Source organism: Homo sapiens, chromosome 10 (assembly GCF_000001405.40).
Source record: "Homo sapiens chromosome 10, GRCh38.p14 Primary Assembly".
NCBI classification, from domain to species: Eukaryota; Metazoa; Chordata; class Mammalia; order Primates; family Hominidae; genus Homo; species Homo sapiens.
The window spans coordinates 17,636,008-17,655,105 of record NC_000010.11 but is presented as its reverse complement, the minus strand read 5'-3'; the positions used below and the strand labels follow the sequence as shown (position 1 = coordinate 17,655,105).

General features: G+C 40.3%; 1 protein-coding gene and 1 long non-coding RNA gene across 11 annotated transcripts in view, besides 4 other annotated features; one reads left to right on the top strand and one right to left on the bottom strand.

Annotated features, from left to right (window-relative positions):
* Nucleotides 1–10,955, bottom strand: part of STAM (signal transducing adaptor molecule) — a 72,674-nt gene extending 61,719 nt beyond the window's left edge. For all 10 annotated transcript variants that reach the window (NM_001324284.2, NM_001324285.2, NM_001324288.2 and 7 more), the window contains exon 1: nucleotides 10,727–10,955. Coding sequence is in view for 4 of the 10 variants with exons in the window: in NM_003473.4 (NP_003464.1) it covers nucleotides 10,727–10,766 (40 nt within the window). In the remaining 6 variants the exon portion in view is untranslated. The remainder of the gene's footprint in view (nucleotides 1–10,726) is intronic.
* Nucleotides 10,703–11,352: an enhancer, noted in NCBI's record as "H3K27ac hESC enhancer chr10:17685753-17686402 (GRCh37/hg19 assembly coordinates)". NCBI's record gives its function as "activates a minimal SCP1, AML or CMV promoter by ChIP-STARR-seq in naive H9 embryonic stem cells {active_cell/tissue: H9 hESC(naive)}" and the evidence as "EXISTENCE:reporter gene assay evidence [ECO:0000049][PMID:30033119]".
* Nucleotides 10,941–11,060: an enhancer, noted in NCBI's record as "active region_3110". NCBI's record gives its function as "activates an Ori minimal core promoter by ATAC-STARR-seq in GM12878 lymphoblastoid cells {active_cell/tissue: GM12878}" and the evidence as "EXISTENCE:reporter gene assay evidence [ECO:0000049][PMID:35858748]".
* On the top strand, nucleotides 11,188–13,822 carry STAM-DT (STAM divergent transcript). The gene has a single exon (NR_110370.1). It is a non-coding gene; the product is annotated as an STAM divergent transcript (long non-coding RNA).
* Nucleotides 11,211–11,280: an enhancer, noted in NCBI's record as "active region_3109". NCBI's record gives its function as "activates an Ori minimal core promoter by ATAC-STARR-seq in GM12878 lymphoblastoid cells {active_cell/tissue: GM12878}" and the evidence as "EXISTENCE:reporter gene assay evidence [ECO:0000049][PMID:35858748]".
* Nucleotides 11,353–12,001: an enhancer, noted in NCBI's record as "H3K27ac-H3K4me1 hESC enhancer chr10:17685104-17685752 (GRCh37/hg19 assembly coordinates)". NCBI's record gives its function as "activates a minimal SCP1, AML or CMV promoter by ChIP-STARR-seq in primed H9 embryonic stem cells {active_cell/tissue: H9 hESC(primed)}" and the evidence as "EXISTENCE:reporter gene assay evidence [ECO:0000049][PMID:30033119]".
* Nucleotides 13,823–19,098: the final 5,276 nt, after the last annotated feature.

Below are 19,098 nucleotides of genomic sequence, written 5' to 3'. Positions count from 1 at the left end.
AAAGATCCTGGAGAGAGAGAAGAGGAGAATCAGGAAGGGCTTCCCGATGTATTTAGAAAATAAGAAGAGGACAGAATAATGAATTAATCTGTTTCTAATTAAGTGAATAAAGTAAAAAGTAAAGTCATCAAAACAGAAAAGAAGTATAATGAAGAATCTAGGCTGGCTGAAATACAGACTACTTTGTGAAAATTTGGAATAATAAGAGAACAACATTAAGACCTAAAATACTATCTCAGGTGTTTGCACTGCTTCAAGAAACATCAGAATGCCAAGAGTTCCAAATAAGGAAATAAAACAACAAGACCTAGACTTTTTTGAAAAATATTAATCTATCACCAATATGTAAAAGCAGTTTGGAAGAGGGAAAAGAGGAGAACTAGCTCAAATTTACCTATCATTGCTCAAGTTTTGGTAATATATTGTAAATCCCTTGAAAATAATAAGGTTTACTTTGGGGAATTATTTCAATAACCATGCTCTCAGTCTAAGTGCTCAAAAAAATGATAAGACTACTCATGTATCTGCAATATGAAGCCACAAAAAGTCATAGTAACACATTGACCTTAAATAATACCTGGTTTAGCCGGGCGCGGTGACCCACGCCTGTAATCCCAGCACTTTGGGAGGCCGAGGTGGGCGGATCACGAGGTCAGGAGATAGAGACCATCCTGGCTAACACAGTGAAACCCCATCTCTACTAAAAATACAAAAAATTAGCCAGGCTTGGTGGTGGGCGCATGTAGTCCCAGCTACCTGGGAGGCTGAGGCAGGAGAATGGCGTGAACCTGGGAGGTGGAGCTTGCAGTGAGCTGAGATCATGCCACTGCACTCCAGCCTGGGTGACAGAGCAAGCCTCCGTCTCAAAAATAATAATAATAATAATAATAACAATAATACCTGGTTTAATGGTTTTCAAACTTAACTTTCAAATGCAGAAACCCTCTACAATGCACTGCTAACTACCCAGAGGGCTAGCATACTTCTGATGCTAACTACCCAGTCAGCAAAGACTTCACAGGTTGAAGACACAGCTCTCCATAAGACTCCCTTCACTTCAAACCTCAGACACAAGCTCTGGGGTCCCCAGGCACTTCTGACCAACTGGATACAAACTGGAAGTTCCCACTACCCTTCAGGATTGATAATTCACCATAGCAACTCACATAGAAAGTACTATACTTACAATTAGAGTTTTATCACAAAAAACACAAACCAGGACCAGCCAATAGAGATACGCAGTTGTCTCTTGGTATACATGGGAGATTGGTTCCAGGATCTTCCACAGATACCAAAATGTATGGATGCTCAAGTCCCTAATATAAAATGGCATTGAATTTGCATAAAGCCTTTGCACATCCTCCTATATACTTTAATTTCTCTAGATCACTTATCATGCCTAATTCAATGTAAATGTTATGTAAATAACTATACTGTATAGGGCATAATGACAAGAAAAATGTCTCTATGTGTTCGGTACAGACATGATATTTTTTCCTCTACAAGTTTTGATCCACTGTTGTTTGAATCCATGAATGCAGACCCCCAGATACAAACAACCACCTGTATGGAGCTAGATCTGGGAGGGTTCCAAACATAAAGCTTCTGTGCTAGGAAGCTTCATCACCCTCCAAATACATCAGTGTGTATCACCACAATGTGTATCACCTACCAGAATGCTTAACTGAGCTTCAGTGTTCAGAGTTTTTATCCTGTTTTATCAAAACAACCTGTTTTACCAAAACAAACATTTAACTCTGTGAGATGAATCCACACATCACAAAGCATTTTCACAAATAGCTTGTTTCCAGTTTTTATCGCGGAATATTCGGTTTTTCAGTGTAGGTTTCGATGGACTGGGAAATGTACCTTCATGGATTCTACAATTGGGGTGTCATTATATAGGTATGATTTATGAAATAGGACCACACAGTGGAACTTAATCTCCAGGTCCCTATCCTTCCCAGGAGGTCCTATGACTCAAAGCCCAAATCCTTTAATCACATGGTTAGTCCTTCTGGAGTGGCCAGCCCCCAGACCAAGTCATCTTATTAGCATAAACTAAGCTATTATCCCAGGGGCCCACCAAAAATAACAAAGATGCTCTTATCACTCAGAAAATTCCAAGGATTTAGAGGCTGTCTCCTAGGAAACAAAGACTAGTCAAATTATTTATCATTCAACACTATAAGAGAATTTTATCTTAAAAGAAACCCAATATATACAGCAAACCCAAGTGGAAGTGCTCTGATTGAGGAGTCCCAGAGCCTGCTCCCTAGGTACTCAACCCCTCTAAAGCCCAAGAATATTGAGTGAGTCATTCTGAACAATATCACTTACTTCATCTTAGAAAAGGAAAGCATGTTATTACTTTGGTCTGGTAGTGCATTTTAATAATTAATTCATCATTCTCACTGACTGGTAGCCAAGCAGGTTGTTTTTTTTTTAAGTGCATTTTTTAAAAGAACACACTTAAATTCTAAAACCTGCCACCTTATTCAAAAACATAATAGCTAAGCATATTAAAACTTATTAAAAAGTTAACAGTTTATCTGATCAAATATAAATTGCCTACTATCATAGTTGAGTGCTATCTTACAGTTCTTGATTAATGATACATCCAGGAACATATGATACAGTTATCAGCAGATATTATGTTGAAAACTCATGAACTACTTTATTACTTTCCTACACATAAATAGAATCAGCATCTGATTCATATTTGTATGGATGGATCAGAAACACAACCCACTTCAGAAATCTAAAATTGTTCACATCATTTATTGAGGCTGTCTCAAAATCATCAAAATCAGTGGCACAATTCTTCTCAGTTATAAAAGAACAAGTATTTTTTTTTTAATCAGAAGGATATAAACTACCTACAACATGGTTCTGTGAATAGCAAATGAAGTCAAAACTATTTATTTTCTAAGACAAAAACAGGGTTTGTGGGAAAAGGAAAAGTGACAAAAATAACAGACTTGCTTCTAAAGAATTCAAAGCTTCATAATGATCTCATTTTATCCTGAGAATATCCTTACACTAATACTCAAAAAGAGGAGATTGAGAAATCTGCCCAGCAGTACCCAGAAAAAACATACACAGAGCCTCATTTGAATTTCAATAGTCTTTTCAAAAGATTAGAGAACTTTTTCTGATAAGCAGCAACTTTTGATTTTTCTCAAAATTTATCACTGTCAAAGATCTGGGGAGGTAAGAAATGCTGACAGGAGGACTTCGCATCACATTTAGGTGGTGAGGAAAGGACTGTCATTCAGTCAGCCCGAAGATGTAACAGTTCATTAAAAATGGCCAATGGAAAAGTAAGTCTGAAAGAAATTATCCTCTTTGCAAATCAATTCTTCAAAAATCTTTCATCTAATATCCCTGATCCTCCTGGAAACTGTATCTGCAAAGAAATGTAATCTGAAGCTCTGCTAACCAGAAAAAGAAGTAGGTATCAAAAGAACAGCATGGAAGCATTTCAGAGAGGAACATAAAACAGAAATGATAACCTAAAGGCATTAGAAAAAACAGCTTAGAGGAGAGGTAAAATAGGGACAGAAGAATCAAAGAATACAAGTTCTTAATCCAGTGGATATCAGATGGTTAACATACTTGTATTCTGAATTTTCACATTTCTCTCCTATGTTTTAACAGTAACTGATTGCACACCTTAGAATCCAATAGTCCCCACATCTATTTCTAACTTGATTATAAAAGGAGCTAAAACGTATCCATTGGTTACTACATGCCAGGTGCTATGCTAAGTGCTTTACATGCATCATCTCCTCAAAACAAACCTACTGAGGATTAATGAACAAATAGGTATGTCAAGCCAGAGGATCCACACCTGAAGAGCACAGTGGCATAAAACCAATAAGGAGTGAAATACACCTGCAAGAAAAAAGTGGAAGGTGAGGCTCAAGAGTCACAAAGAAGCCAAATATAAGAGGCCTTACATGCCCTGCTGAAAAGTTCAAAGTACTGTGAAAGCGGTAGATTCTTCAGAACTTTTTTTTTTTTTTTTTTTTTTTTTTTGAGACGGACTCTCGCTCTGTCACCAAGGCTGGAATGCAGTGGTGTGATCTTGGCTCACCGCAAGCTCCGCCTCCCAGGTTCACGCTATTCTCCTGCCTCAGCCTCCTGAGTAGCTGGGACTACAGGCGCCCGCCACTACGCCCGGCTAATTTTTTGTATTTTTAGTAGAGATGGGGTTTCACCATGTTAGCCAGGATGGTCTCGATCTGCTGACCTCATAATCCGCCCACCTCGGCCTCCCAAAGTGCTGGGATTATAGGCGTGAGCCACCGCGCCCAGCCCTCTCTAGAAATATTTTAAACGGAGGGGCCACGCGTACATTCACATTTTAAAAATATCACCATCAGCCATCTGGAAAATAACTAGGGAAAAACTGGAAGCAGGGAAGAACAGCTGGAAGCTACTGTACTAATCTGAGAGAGTGGTGATCTAAACCTGGAATCCTTGAGGGCATATTCGGTACCAGGGTATCTGGCACAGGGTAGACAGGATACATTTGTTGTTTAGAATGTAGAAAATTACAACTACAGAAGTCAAGAATTACTCCCAAGTTCACGACTTGTATGACTAAGTAAACTTAGGTACCAACTATCAAAACAGACAAAAAGCATAATTGAGAAGAAAAATTTCAAATGGTTTTGAACATGCTGAACTTGAGATATTTGAAGCCTATTCAACTCTGGTAAAGAGTCAGAATGTCATGTGTTTTCACAAGTAATCCTCATAGCATCCGCATGATGTATAATGGATATTGCTATCCCTATTTACCAAAGTAGAAAGTGAATTCAAAGGGGTCCTATACCTATCCAACTATACATTGTGTCCATTTACTAAGAGTAAATGCTGCAGGTGCAATTTAAGCCCAAAGCCCAAGGTCTTTCTATCATATCACACTTCAGGAGAATGTGACATTAACATTTAAGATTCATCTAGCTTATGATTTATGAGGCTGACTGGACTAAGCAAAGCAGACTAAAAAAATGTCCAAGTATGTAGGATGTGGACTGGCCCAAAGCAGTCTGACTGGGAACACAAATATTCTATTATAGAAACAAAGACATATGATGATTTAGCAGAGGCAGGGAAATGATTCAAAGATGCCTCTTGGGTTTCAAGTCAAGATAACTACAACACTAAAATATTACCAAATTGGCTGGGCCCGGGTGCCTCACATCGGTAATCCCAGCACTTTGGGAGGCTGAGGCAGGCAGATCACTTGAGGCTAGGAGTTCAAGACCAGCCTGGCCAATATGGCAAAACCCCATCTATATTAATGTAAAAAAAGATTTAAAAACAAACAAAAATGTTACCAAATAATGAATGAAGAGCCAGACTTAGAAAGATAACTTCAGTTTTCTGACAGATGAATTTGTTTTGGAGGGAAAAAAGAACAGCAAATAGAAATACAAGACTAATGTTCTAGAAAAACACCAATAATTCATTATTTGATAAATAATTCTTGAGTGCTTTCTATGTACCAGACACTATCCCTAAAGTATTAGGGGAAAAAAAATGAAAAGTTCTCATCTTAATGGAGTTTATATTCCACACAAAAGATAATCAATCAATTAATGTCAGGTCACTAAGTACTATAAAGAAAAAGAAATGGAACAAAGAAACAGAGTGAGAGGGTAAAGATGCATTTTTTTTAATTCTTTTTTTTTTTTTTTTAAAGACAGGGTCTCACTCTCTTGCCCAGGCAAGAGTGCAGTCATAGCTCACTGCAGCCTTGACCTCCCAGGCTCAACCAATCCTCTGGATTCAGCATCCCGAGTAAATGGGACTACAGGCATACCACCATGCCAGCTAACTTTTTTATTGTTTGTAGAGACAGGGTCTCATTATGTTGCCCAGACTGGTCTCCAATTCCTGGCCTCAAGGAATCCTCCTGCCTCAGCCTCCCAAAGTGTAGGGGTTACTGGCGTGAGCCACTGCATTCAGCCCAAGAAGGATATTTTTTACAGAAGATTATTAGGTAAAGCGTCTCAGAAAATGACGTTTGAACAGAGTCCTGAATGGGTGTGATGAATATCCAGACCTTCAAATACCTGGGTGAGGAGTATCCCAGGCAAAGAGTACCATATAGCTACAGAGGCAGGAATGAGCTTGGAGCGTTCAGATTTAAGAAGCCTGGAATTCAAGAGAGTGAGTCTGGAGATCATAATCATATCAGACACACAGGAAGAAGCCATATTGTGAGCCACAATAAAAAAACTTGCATTTCCCTTTAAGTAGGATAGGAAGCTACCAGAGAACTCTGAGCAGGTAACTGACATTATCTAACATTTTTAAAAGATCACTGACCTTTGTAAATGAGAACTGATTGTAGAGGCAAGAGTGGTAACAAAGAAACCTACCAGAAGGCTCTTGCCACTGACTATAAGAGATAACAATGACTGAAGTAAGGTAAGAATGGTGAGACAGAAAAAGGTGATGATGTGTCCGGAGTTTGTTCCCTCTGGTGGGTTTGTGGTCTCGCTGACGTCAAGAATGAAGCCACGGACCTTTGTGGTGAGTGTTACAGCTCTTAAAGGTAGCACGGACCCAAAGAGTGAGCAGCACCAAGATTTATTGTGCAGAGTGAAAGAACAAAGCTTCCACAGCATGGAAGGGGACCCGAGCCGGTTGCTGCTGCTGGCTAGGGTGCCCAGCTTTTATTCTCTTATTTGTCCCCGCCCATGTCCTGCTGATTGGTTCATTTTACAGAGTGCTAATTGGTCCATTTTACAAACCTCTAGCTAGCTACAGAGCACTGATTGGTGCATTTTACAAACCTCCAGCTAGCTACAGAGCACTGATTGGTGCGTTTTTACAGAGCACTGATCGGTGCATTTTACAATCCCCTTGTAAGACCGAAAAGTTCTCCAAGTCCCCACTTGACCCAGGAAGTCCAGCTAGTTTCACCTGTCAATGAAATTCTGGATATATTTTTAAAGTACAGCCAAAATATCTTGCTGATAGGATGAATGTGAAGTGTGAAGAAATAAGAAGAATCAGTGATACTCCTAGACATTGGAGCTCAGTGACAGGAAACAGTAATCATGTTGTCGTCTACTGAGAAGGGCAAGGATGAAGGAATGAGCAGGTTTGGGCAAAGAACTAAGAATTGAGTTTTTGAATGTTTGTTTTTAGACTCTAAGCAGAATCCAAATGGAGATGCTCAGTAAGGAGATGGATATCTAGGTCGAGAGCTCAGGCAAGAGGCTGAGAGTAAGAACATAAATCCAGGAGTCACCAGAATACGCTAGGTATTTAAAGCTAAGAAATTAGATGAGGTTCTTTTTAAAATCTTACTTAATAAAAAGTACAGAAATTTTTCTAAGTGCTTTACAAATATTAACTCAACCCTCTTAACAACTCTCTGAGGTAAGAACTATTATTACTCTTATATTCCATATTAAAGATAAGGAAACTGAGACACAGATTATCTAAGCAACTAGGCCAAAAATCACACTACCGGTAAGCAGCAAACCTGGGACTGAATCCAAGCAGTGTGGCCCCAGTCTGAATTCTTAACACTAAGCTAAATTGCTTCCTAATACTCTAAGGGAAAAAAAAAAGTGGAAGGAGAGAAGAGGCTCCGGAACTGAGCCGCAGGGCACTCAACTTTTAGAAGTTGCAAAAAGGGGAAGCAAAAAAATTTAAAAGGAGCTAAGTAGAAAATGAGAAAAAGTTTGGTGTCCTGAAATCCCATGAATAAAATACTGTATATCAAAGAGGAATGCTTAAGAGATCAAAAAAGAAATGGACTAGAAAGTGACCATTGGATTTGGCAAGGTGGAAGTCACTAGAGACTTTGAAATACAAACTTGATGAAATAAGTTATCTTTACGTTTCTTCTAAATTCAGCTCTTGAATTATAATGTCCAAAATGAGATTCATTTATTCCATAAATGTTTACTGAAAGTTCTTCAGCATGCCAAAAACTGGTCTACAGCTAGGGATACGGCAGTGAAAAAATCAAACAAAAATCCCTGTCCTCACAGAGCTCACATTCTAGTAACATCTTTCGGTGTTTCTTCCAAGGGAAAAGCTATCACCAGCATTGTGTCTCTTTATAAAAAATGTTATATTATATAAATCAGTCAGTGAATTTCTGATTCAGCCTCAGATTAAGACTGAAGACAATTAATTTTGAAGATGTGCAAATGTATACGAGTGTTAAGTGATAAATAACTGTATCAAATGAGTTACTTTAATGTTATGACATATTCATTGGTAGATATGGTGAAAGAAAAAATTGTTAAGTGTATTCTATACACTGTATTCTATATGTTATACTATTAAAAAATAATATGAGTCTACTGGACTCTGTGCAAGGCTTATGTACTGGGAATCTCTGAGGGGTCTTCTTAGATAAACCTTTTGTAATATTTCAATACAAGGATTGTGAGAAGAGAATTGGTCCAATACCAAAACCTGAGCAACTTTAAAAAGTAAGCTTTTCTGGAGCAAAACAATGTTGCTACACTGAAGAAGTATAATGTCTGGCAGGCTCAACTGACACATTCTCAACTCAACAAACATTATTAAACACCTCCTATGTAGCAACCTCTCATTAAGGAGTATAAAACTATCTTGAATGCTAAATAATTCGGTAAAGGCAAAAATGCTAAAATAAGTTAGAGGATTTTGTAAGAAGGTGGAAATTAGAGTGGACTAGTGCAGCGGTTCTCAACTGGGAGGTATTTTGTCCTTCCAGGGGGCATTTAGCAATGTCCTGAGACTTCTAAAATCATGAGTGGGGGCTGGGTGTCACCGGCATCTAGTGGATAAAGGCCAGGGATAAGGCTGAACACCCTACATTGCACAGGACAAACTCCTATGACAAAGATATTTACCTGGCCCAAACCGTCAATAACGTTGCTACTGAGAAACCCTTTGCTACAGTAATCAGGAAATGACTCAGGTGTAACAAGTTGGATTCTGAGTTGGCCTTAACACACAAGGATATGTTGAAAGATAAAAGAAAGCATAAGCGTAGGACAAAAGCATAAAGGCAAGAAGGTGCCTGTGTTTGAACTGGGTGGTACAGCTACTAGGAACGGGTTTGACATTAAGAAATTTACCTGAATCCAATGCAAATATGTGTTCACAAAGTCAGTAGAATATAAAGGTGATTGGGTAGTTGCTAGCTAAATTATACAGGACCAAGAAAACTAGACAAAGGTGCTGTAAACAGAAGAAGCAAGTATTAAGAAGCTGTTTTAAGTATTTCCCCTAGAGATTCATGTAGTGAGATGTAAAACTGCTTGAGAACAGCAACTAGGCCTTGCTCATCACTGTATCTCTTATGTCACTGAGCTGCTGTGTCCTGTAGTGTGTGCTAACTGCTTATTAAATTAAATGCAATTTTCCAATTCATTAAGTATAATCGGTGATCTCCAAGGTTCTGTCCACTGCTAAGATTCAGGACACTCATTTAAGGTGGAACAAAAAAGGTAGCATCTAGTAAGTGCCAACCACATAAAGGTACTGTAGCAGGCCCTCTAGACATATTATTTAACTGCAGAATGGAATGATGTGTTTTCCCCTCTTTAAAGACAAGAACACTGGAACTCAAAGAATTTAACTTGCCTATGATTTCACCGTGAGCTGAGAAGTGGCAGAGGTAAGGAGTGAACTTTTTTCTACTCTTATATAAACTTCCAAGTTTCAGTGACATGCTCTAAGGAAGAGTTTAAAAAGAAAAATTCAACATCCACCTTTCATAATTAAAATACACAAAGACAAGTAAATTCATAAGGTTGTCCTTATTCACAGTAATGATTACATTCTGCCATAAGGGATTTGGAAATGGTATTTGGCTTGCTTTCATTCCACACTTGTGTGCCAAGGTAGTTCCTACGTGCGTTCAAATTAAACCAAAATTCTCTCCCCGGAAACTCAAATTCCCATAATTATTATCTTCAAGTCAGAAAAAAATAAAATAAAATAAAATTAAAAACCAAAAGCAAACCTATTGAATTGACATCATCAGTACCTAATACCAGTGATTCAGAAAACAACAAAAATGTAGCATTTCAAACTCTTTCCAGATTCAACAACTTCTTCCACACTTCTTTACACCTTTTAAAGTGCAGAGACCTAGCCTAAGAGAGACATCCCAAAGGCTCAGGTCCTCAATTCGGTTTCAGTCGTTGCCAAGTATTTCATCTTCATCGCTCCTAACATGTTTGAGAGTCTACCCTTAACCAGAGCTCCCTCCTTCAGTTACCGTTACAAAAGATTTTAAAATCCTCTAAGGAACCTTACCTAAAACATTCTGCCAGTTCCAGACGCTCAACATTTATTTGTCTAGGCAAGCACTTTTGGTACAGGGTTTACAATCCTAATCTAGCCAACATACGCCTTAAGCCCTTCGCTGTTCTTCCAGAAGCACAGTCCCTGCACCAGATGCTACACCAGCTGCTCCTCCCAGGCCCTTTACACCAACCCATTCAGCAGTTCTTTGGCAACCTACAGTCCTAGCTCAAGGCCCATTTCACAGGATGAGTCCCATTTCTTTCAAAGAGGATGCGCCAAGCCCTCAACCTCCTCCCAGCTCTGAAGGAGGGAGCCTCAGGAAAGGGGAAGAGCGAGCTCTTCCTTGGCCCTGGCCCGAGGGTCCTGAATGCAGGCAGGGGCTGGCAGAGTGAGCGTGCAGTCCGGTGAGGAATGGGCAGGGAGAGGCAAAAACACTTACCAACATCCTGATCGAAGGGATTGGTGGCAAAAAGAGGCATCTCCGCTGCGTGCCGAGGTGTCCCCGGGGACTCCCTCTCGACAGCACGGGAGTCAGAGCTCGACGTAGGATGGAAGACTCCTCAGGCAAAAAGAGCAACAGAGACCGACTCTACAGGGTCCGCGACAGCTCCTCCTCTCACCCAACCCCACCAACCGCGGCAGCAGCTGCGGCGGCGGCAACAGCAAGGAGCCGAGGAAGCCCCCGCGCGGAGCTTGTCGGGAATCTGGGCGACCTTGGCGCTGCCTGTCTCAAAGCTGCCCCGAGCCTGCCCCATCGGTAAAGGCTGAACAGGGAGTCCCCTCTGCCTGACTCCTCTTTTAATTAGTCACACATAAGAGTGGAATTAGTTCTTGTGTTTTCTGCTTTTCCCTTGGCTAGGAGTCTCCGTAGGACGGGGTCCTTCAGGCGTGCTGAAGCCTACTAACAACCCCAGGAGTGACTGGGAGAGCCAGGAGAAAGAAAGCAGGTTGAGTTCGGGTCGAGCTGTGCGCCTTTTTTCCTCTCGCTCTCTCGGTTATCATAACCTTGTATTCCCTCTGGAAGGAAATGGAAATTCCTTTGGATCATCTTCTAGGTAAACAGTTTAATTAGCTGCGTGAGGTGACAAACTTGCTCGGATGAAGTCATGGGAGCTGAACGAATTGGCCTGAATCCCAAGAGGGGAGTGTTCAGGGCGCGCGTGTCCCTCGGAGAGGCTGAGGTAACGCTGGCTCCTTCCCGGGAGTCCCTGAACGCCCGGCTTTGGAATCTGCAGACAGCTCTTCTAGCAGGGCGTTGGCACCTACTGACTAACCGTGCAATCACTCAGCAGCTGTGATGGTTGGTGACATGTCTTTCACAGCCCAAGATAGCCTCCCTAGACTGAGCAAAAAAAAGAAAACAGAAAAAAACTGGAGCTAAAAGTTGATCAGTGAGTGATTCCTAGCAACCCAAAATGTTGGTTTATTTATTTTACTTATAAGTTTAGTTAACCAATAAAAATTATTCTCTGTGTGATGGAGAAGTTTTAAGGAGCATCTACTAGAGATGTTGCGTCCCACTTGGAACAAACTTAGTAAGCACATCTTGTACGTAAATGGAAATTATCCCGCAAATTACGGCATCTCCAAATGTAGCGTGGAAACTAATATTGACATGTCAACACAGGATTAATACATAGTAATCAAAGAGTGCTTAAAAATTCATTAAAAATGAAGTCCCACCTCTAAAAGTGAAATGTGCAAATTAAAGTAGCAGTTAGATAATGTTTTGTCATTTAGGTAAAAATTACAAAGAATCGGCCGGGCGCGGTGGCTCACGCCTGTAATCCCAGCACTCTGGGAGGCCGAGGCCGGCAGATCACCTGAGGTCAGGAGTTCAAGACCAGCCTGGCCATGGTGAAACCCCGTCTCTACTAAAAGTACAAAAAATTAGCCGGGCGTGGTGGTGCGCGCTTGTAATCCCAGCTATTCGGGAGGCTGAGGCTGGGAATCGTTTGAACCCGGGAGCGAAACTCCGTCTCAAAAAAAGAAAAAAATTGCAAAGAATCAGGGATGTGAGGAGTCAGACACTCACATACTGTTGGATGAAGTGTAAATACTGTATAATCTTCCTAAGGGAAATATTTGGAAGCATGTAAAAAAATTTTTAAAACCTTAGGACCCAGCAATTCCATTTCGGCAAATTAATCCTAAAGACATTCTTTTAAAACATGAACAAAGGTATACATGGCAACATTGTCTAAAGGATCAAAGCATTGCCAGCCATTAAATGTCCCACATTGAGTGATTGGACAAATTGCTTCACCTCTTGGTGTCTCAGTTTCCTCATGTGTAAGAAACAGGAATAATAGGGTTGTGAGGATCAAATGAATTAGTACAAGCAAAACGCTTATTACAGTGCCTGGCATAGAGTAAGCACTAAATAAGTGTAACTGATCACTGTAATTTACACTGGTCAGTTAAATCATAGTACATAAGATGTGAAAACTACACAGCCATTTAAGGTGCATAATACAGATTCATATTTACATAGACATCTGAATACACAAGTTTTCAGAAGGAAGTTACAAACCTTATAAAATTACAAATGCCCACAATTTTAAAAATCTGAAAGGAAATACATGAGAATATTATGACATGATTGTCTCTGAGTGGCAAGATTCTAGACAATGTTTTTGTTCTTTGTGCATTTTATTATTCAAAATATTTTAATGATGAGCGTGTATTCCTTTCAAAAGCAGAAAAAATGTTAAAATACAACAATGTCAAAAATGGTATGTTGGTACCACCAGTTTCTTAATGTTTTGAAGGGCCAATACCAAAAGCGTGCTTGTGTTTCATTATGACAAGTATAGAATTATTCGGAAATATCACGACTGATACGGAAGTCAGAACATTCCCTCTCAAAAATGTGCTTTGATTGCTGGGCTGACAGAATTAGGTGACAACTTGTTTACCTTAAGATCCTGAGCAGTGTCTTGGGCCATTATCATAAGTGCCTGAGCCAGATATTGGTGGCTCAGACTGGGTGTATCAGAGCCAGATATTGATGAAAATGCATTTGTACATGTTCTGTACTCCGGACTGAATTACTCTGTTGCCAGCAATAAGCCAGGGCACAAACTGTTCAAGCCTTGATTATCAATATGTGTGCACTGGGAGTAATACATACTAGTATTGAGAGCAGTATCCGTGCATTCTGACCTAGAATGACTTTAGCTGTGGGGGCAGGGGGGTCTCGATGATTAATGTGCTGTATAAATAATAAACATTTTTTAAATATAAAATTTTTAATATTTAACTTAAAAGACAAACATAAAAAGTGAAATGCTTTGTATTTTGTGGTTAACGTCCCTTATTATCCCTTTAAAATACTGAAATTCTATGAGTTTCACTTTTAGTATTACCACAGTTTTTAAAACGTTTTGAAGACTACATATCAATGGCATATTAAAATGTTTCTGTAATGTTGTATGTTTAATAAATTCTGTGGTTGTTTGTTAAATGTTATATCCCTTTATTCTCAGTTTGATTTTGAAAATTCATCTACATTAAAAACAAAAATACTGGCCAAGTGTGGTGGCTCATGCCTGTAATCCTAGCACTTTGGGAGGCTGAGGCAGGTGGATCATCTGAGGTCAGGAGTTTGAGACCAGCCTGGCCAACATGGCGAAACTCGGTCTCTACCAAAAATACAAAAACTTAGCTGGGCGTGGTGGTGGGCAGCTGTAATCCCAGCTACTCAGGAGGATGAGGCAGGAGAATCGCTTGAACCTGGGGTATGGAGGTTGCAGTGAGCCGAGATCGGGCCACTTCACTCCAGCCTGGGCGACAGAGAGAGACTCTGTCTCAAAAAACAAAAAAAACAAACAAAAAAACAAAACAAAAAACAAAAAACTGGTGTGCAAATAGAGTTACTACACGAAAAAGTCTATAATTTTCAAATTCAGGAAAAAGAATATCCTAGGAAGGTTTTTAACAGTTTAATAATTCCAGCCCAAGTAGGAATGATTACTATTTCTCAGTCTTTCCTCTTCCTCTGCATTGTCACTACTTTAGTTTATACCCTCATCTCTTAGGCAAGTTACTACATTCACCTCCTGCTGTCTTTTCTCCTTTCCTACAGCTGTGGACTGAATTGTATCCTCAAAAATACAAATATTGAAGCCCTTATGCCCAATGTGATGGTATTTGGAGACAGAATCTTTGGGAGATAATTAGAGTTAGATGAGGTCATGAGGCTGCGGCCTTGCTAATGGGATTAGTGCCCTTATAAGAAGGACACTGGATTGCTTGCTGTCTCTCCCTCTCTCTGCCATGTGGGGATGTGGCGAGAAGGCAGCTGTCTGCAGGCCAGTAAGAGAGCCCTCGCCAGAACCCAACCATGCTGGTACCCTGATCTCAGACTTCCAACCTTTAGAACGGCAAGAAAATTAATTTCTGTTGTATAAGTCACTCACTCTGGTATTTTGTTATGGCAGCCTAAGCTAGCTAATACAGCTATTACCTCTAAACCATTCTCTGTCTTACCGCCAGAATGATTTTTCTAATACACAAATCTGATTATATATCATTTCCTTAAAATTCTTATAGGGTTTCTTCAGTTACTCAGTCATTCAGCAAATATGTATTAACTCCCACGTGTGCCAGGTAACATTTTAGATGCTGGAATTATAGGGATAAAAGCTCTGTGAGATTTAGCCTTTTTGGAGTACAGCCTTTGGGGAAGATAGTCATTAAATAAAAAATTAAATTAATTGTATGATTACAAGTGTGCAGAGTAGCCTTACCTTCAGGATTAAACCCCCCTTCTTTAGCATTACCTCCTTAATGAACTGACCTCTCAGTAACTCATCTCTTCGCAGTTTTTTTTCTCCTACCCTCTACGTTAGCCTTTCTGAACTACTAGCATTCGCCCCCATGCTTTTTGTATCTTCAAACAAGCAACTCTTTCTGCTTTTCCTGCTCTTACTCTATTTAGGTCCTAGATCTCCTCTAAACTTCCGCTTAGATTTTGCTTCTTAAAAGCCTTTCCTGACTCAGTACCTGACTAGTAATAGGCACATAATAAATATTTGTTAATCCATTTGTTAATTGACTACCTCTATTATATAGCACTTAATGGTATGGTATGTGTTACAGGTGTCTATTATACCTGAGCACGGTGTCTCACGTCTGTAATCCCAGCACTGTGGGAGGCCGAGGGGGGCAGATCACCTGAGGTCGGGAGTTCAAAACCAGCCTGACCAACATGGAGAAACCCTGTCTCTACTAAAAATACAAAATTAGCTGGGCATGGTGGCGCATACCTGTAATCTCAGCTACTCAGGAGGCTGAGGCAGGAGAATCGCTTGAACACGGGAGGTGGAGGTTGCAGTGAGCCGAGATCACACCATTGCCCTCCAGCCTGGGCAACAAGAGCGAAACTCCATCTCAAAAAAAAAAAAAAAAAAAATTAAGCACTGCAAATTGCAAATTTAGCATCTTAGGGCAACAACAATCATTTCTTCTGCTTACAAACAGAAATTTGGTTAGAACTTAGCCAGGACCACACAGTCTCAGCGGTGGTAGCTCAGAGGCTGGAATCACTACAGCCAGGGCTACAGTCATTTCAAAGTTTGCTCAGTTATATGTCTGGCAGTTGGTCCTAGCAGTTGACTGAGTCATTGGGGTTACCAACCAGAACAACTACATGGGAGCTCCTATGTATCTGCTTGGTTCCTCTCAGTGTGTTGGATGGGCATACAACTGAGTATTGCAAGAGCCGGGAAACTGCCAGTTTCTTAAGACCTGGGCTAGGAAATAAGCACAGCATCATTTCAGTCATGTTCTTTTGGACAGGCAGTCACAGCATCTACACTTAAGGGAAGAGGAAATAAAATTTACCTCTTGGTGGAAAGAGTGTCAAAGAATTTTGGGGTCATACTTAAAAGCTACCACAATATTGTAACTTTTTAATTGTATAAGCATTAGTCTGAATCATTTTTCCCTGTTTCTGGGCTCTTCACGGTAGATATTCCATAAATGTTTGTTAAATGCAGTAAATAAATAAAATTTATTATGATTAAAATGGCAAACCTCCATTACTGGCCATGAGAGAGTAACAGGATCCAGACTTACCTTTTTACAATAAGCAAATAAGACACTGGACAAAATATATGGAATGATTTCAAACATGGGAAAACAGGCAGCACTGGACTATGATTTCAAGAAGAAAGGAAGCATATGCAGTGAGCCCAATGATTACAATAGCGTTCTGCCTGGAATCAGTTTCTAGGCTGTGGCACAGGGAGGTGGAGCCCCAAAAGAACCCAAAGGTGTTATTGCATTGAAGAGACAAAAATCAAAGTTTGAGGAGGCCAAGAGACTAGAATTTGGAGGGCAATATATTAGGAGGGTGCTATGCAGGGAAGAGCTTCAGAAATCTGCACAAGGGGCCGGGTGTGGTGGCTCACGCCTGTAATCCCAGCACTTTGGGAGGCTGAGGCGGGTGGATTGCCTGAGGTCAGGAGTTGGAGACCAGCCTGGCCAACATAGTGAAACCCCGTCTCTACTAAAAATGAAATAAATTAGCTGGGCGTGGTCGCAGGTGCCTGTCATCCCAGCTACTTGGGAGGCTGAGGCAGGAGAATTGCTTGAACCCGGGAGGCAGAGGTTTAGTGAGCCAAGATCACGCCATTGCACTCCAGCCTAAGCAACAAGAGCGAAACTCCATTTCAAAAAAAAGAAAGAAGTCTGCACAAGTGTTCCCCTTGCGGCTTTGAATGCTAATCTAGTCATGGGTACGGTAAAGCTCTACAAGTTTGGGCAAAGCACTTTTAGGCAAAGACCTACTACCAGGGAAGCAAAATCTGAAAAATCCCAAGAGTTCATACAAGTCAGGGAATCATTTCAGTTCTCAAAGCCAAAAGGAAGAAAATTACTTGAATACACTGAGTGTTAAGTAAATACCCCAAGAGGCTAATGTCTTAGTAGTGGGGAATGGCCTGACATGGAAGTCTACCTCTGCCTTTGCTCTAAAAAAGCTTAAAGAGTAAACTCTTGAAAAGTAAGCTGGGCAACATAAATCAGGGGCAGAACAAAGTATGAAACTCTTAACAGGAATACATATATTTACGGCACTCAAAAATATAAAATTCTTCAATGGCCAGACTCCAATAAAATATTACTGAACACATAAAGGAGTAGGAAAACGTGGCTAATAACCAGTAGGGCAATCAGTCCATGGAAACAGACCCGGAAATTAAAGAGATGATTGAATTAACATAAGAATGTTTAAAGAGTTCTAACTGTGATCAACATGCTCAAGGGCTTACAAAAAGATGAATATAATGGGGAGAGAAATAAAACGCATCAAAAAAGAAGCAAATGGCAATTCTAGAGATTAAAATTACACTATCTGACATAAAACTTCCACTAGATAGAATTAAGGGGAGTTTAGCCGGGCGCGGTGGCTCACGTCTGTAATCCCAACACTTTGGGAGGCCGAGGCGGGTGGATCACGAGGTCAGGAGATCGAGACCATCCTGGCTAACATGGTGAAACCCCATCTCTACTAAAAATAAAAATAAAAATAATTAGCCGGGTGCGGTGGCGGGCACCTGTAGTCCCAGCTACTCAGGAGGCTGAGGCACGAGAATGGCGTGAACCTGGGAGACGGAGCTTGCAGTGAGCCGAGATCGTGCCACTGCACTCCAGCCTGGGCGACAGAGCAAGACTCCATCTCAAAAAAAATAAAAATAAAAATCATTTTAAAAAAAGAATTAATGGGAGTTTAGACACTACAGTAGAAAAAATAAGTGAACCTGAAGACACAGCAACGGAAACTATACAAAATTGAAGCACATAGAAGAGAAAGACTGAAAAATAAAAAATCTCAATGACCTATAGAAAAATATAAAGCAGTATAGCATATGGGTAATTGGAGTTCCATAGAAAGTAATAAAGAGGGGTGGGGAGGGCCGGGTGCGGTGGCTCACGCCTGTAATCCCAGCACTTTGGGAGGCCGAGGCGAGCGGATCACCTGAGGTTGGGAGTTCAATACCAGCCTGACCAACATGGAGAAACCTCGTCTCTACTAAAAATACAAAATTAGCCTGGCATAGTGGCGCATGCCTGTAATCCCAGCTACTCAGGAGACTGAGGCAGGAGAATTGCTTGAACCCTGGAAGGCAGAGTTTACGGGGAGCCGAGATCGCGCCAAGCCGAGACCACGCCATTGCACTCCAGCCTGGGCAACAAGAGTGAAACTCCGTCTCAAAAAAAACCCCAAAATTTCTCAAATTTAATGAAAACTATATTCTTACAAATCTGAGACTGTAAGTGAACCCGAGTCATAATAAATAACAACAACAAAAATGGCACTAAGGCACAGCATGATCAAATTACTGAAAATCACTGATAATGATAAAATAGTAAAAGCATCCAGAAAACAAAAAGACACATTATACATAGAGGAATAAAGATAAGAATTACCGTAGACTCCTAATAAAATTGCCAAAATTTTTTAAAAGATAGTGGATAGTACCTTTAAAGTCCTGAAATTTAAAAATTGTCAATGTAGAATTTTATGTCAGCAAAAATCTTTTTCAAAATGAAGTTGAAATAAAGTGACTTGAGCATCTGTAGATTTTGGTATCTGCTTGGGGGTCCTGGGGCCACATCCCCTGCATACAAAAAAGGCTGAAAGAACTCATCATCAGCAACCTACACAAAAAGAAATGTTCAAACAAACAAACAAAAATCCAAAATTCTTCAGGCTATAGAAATATGGGGTCACTTGGAGATTTGAATCTAAAAAACAAAATGAAAATCATCTGAATGGTCATGTGAGAGTAAATATAAAAGACA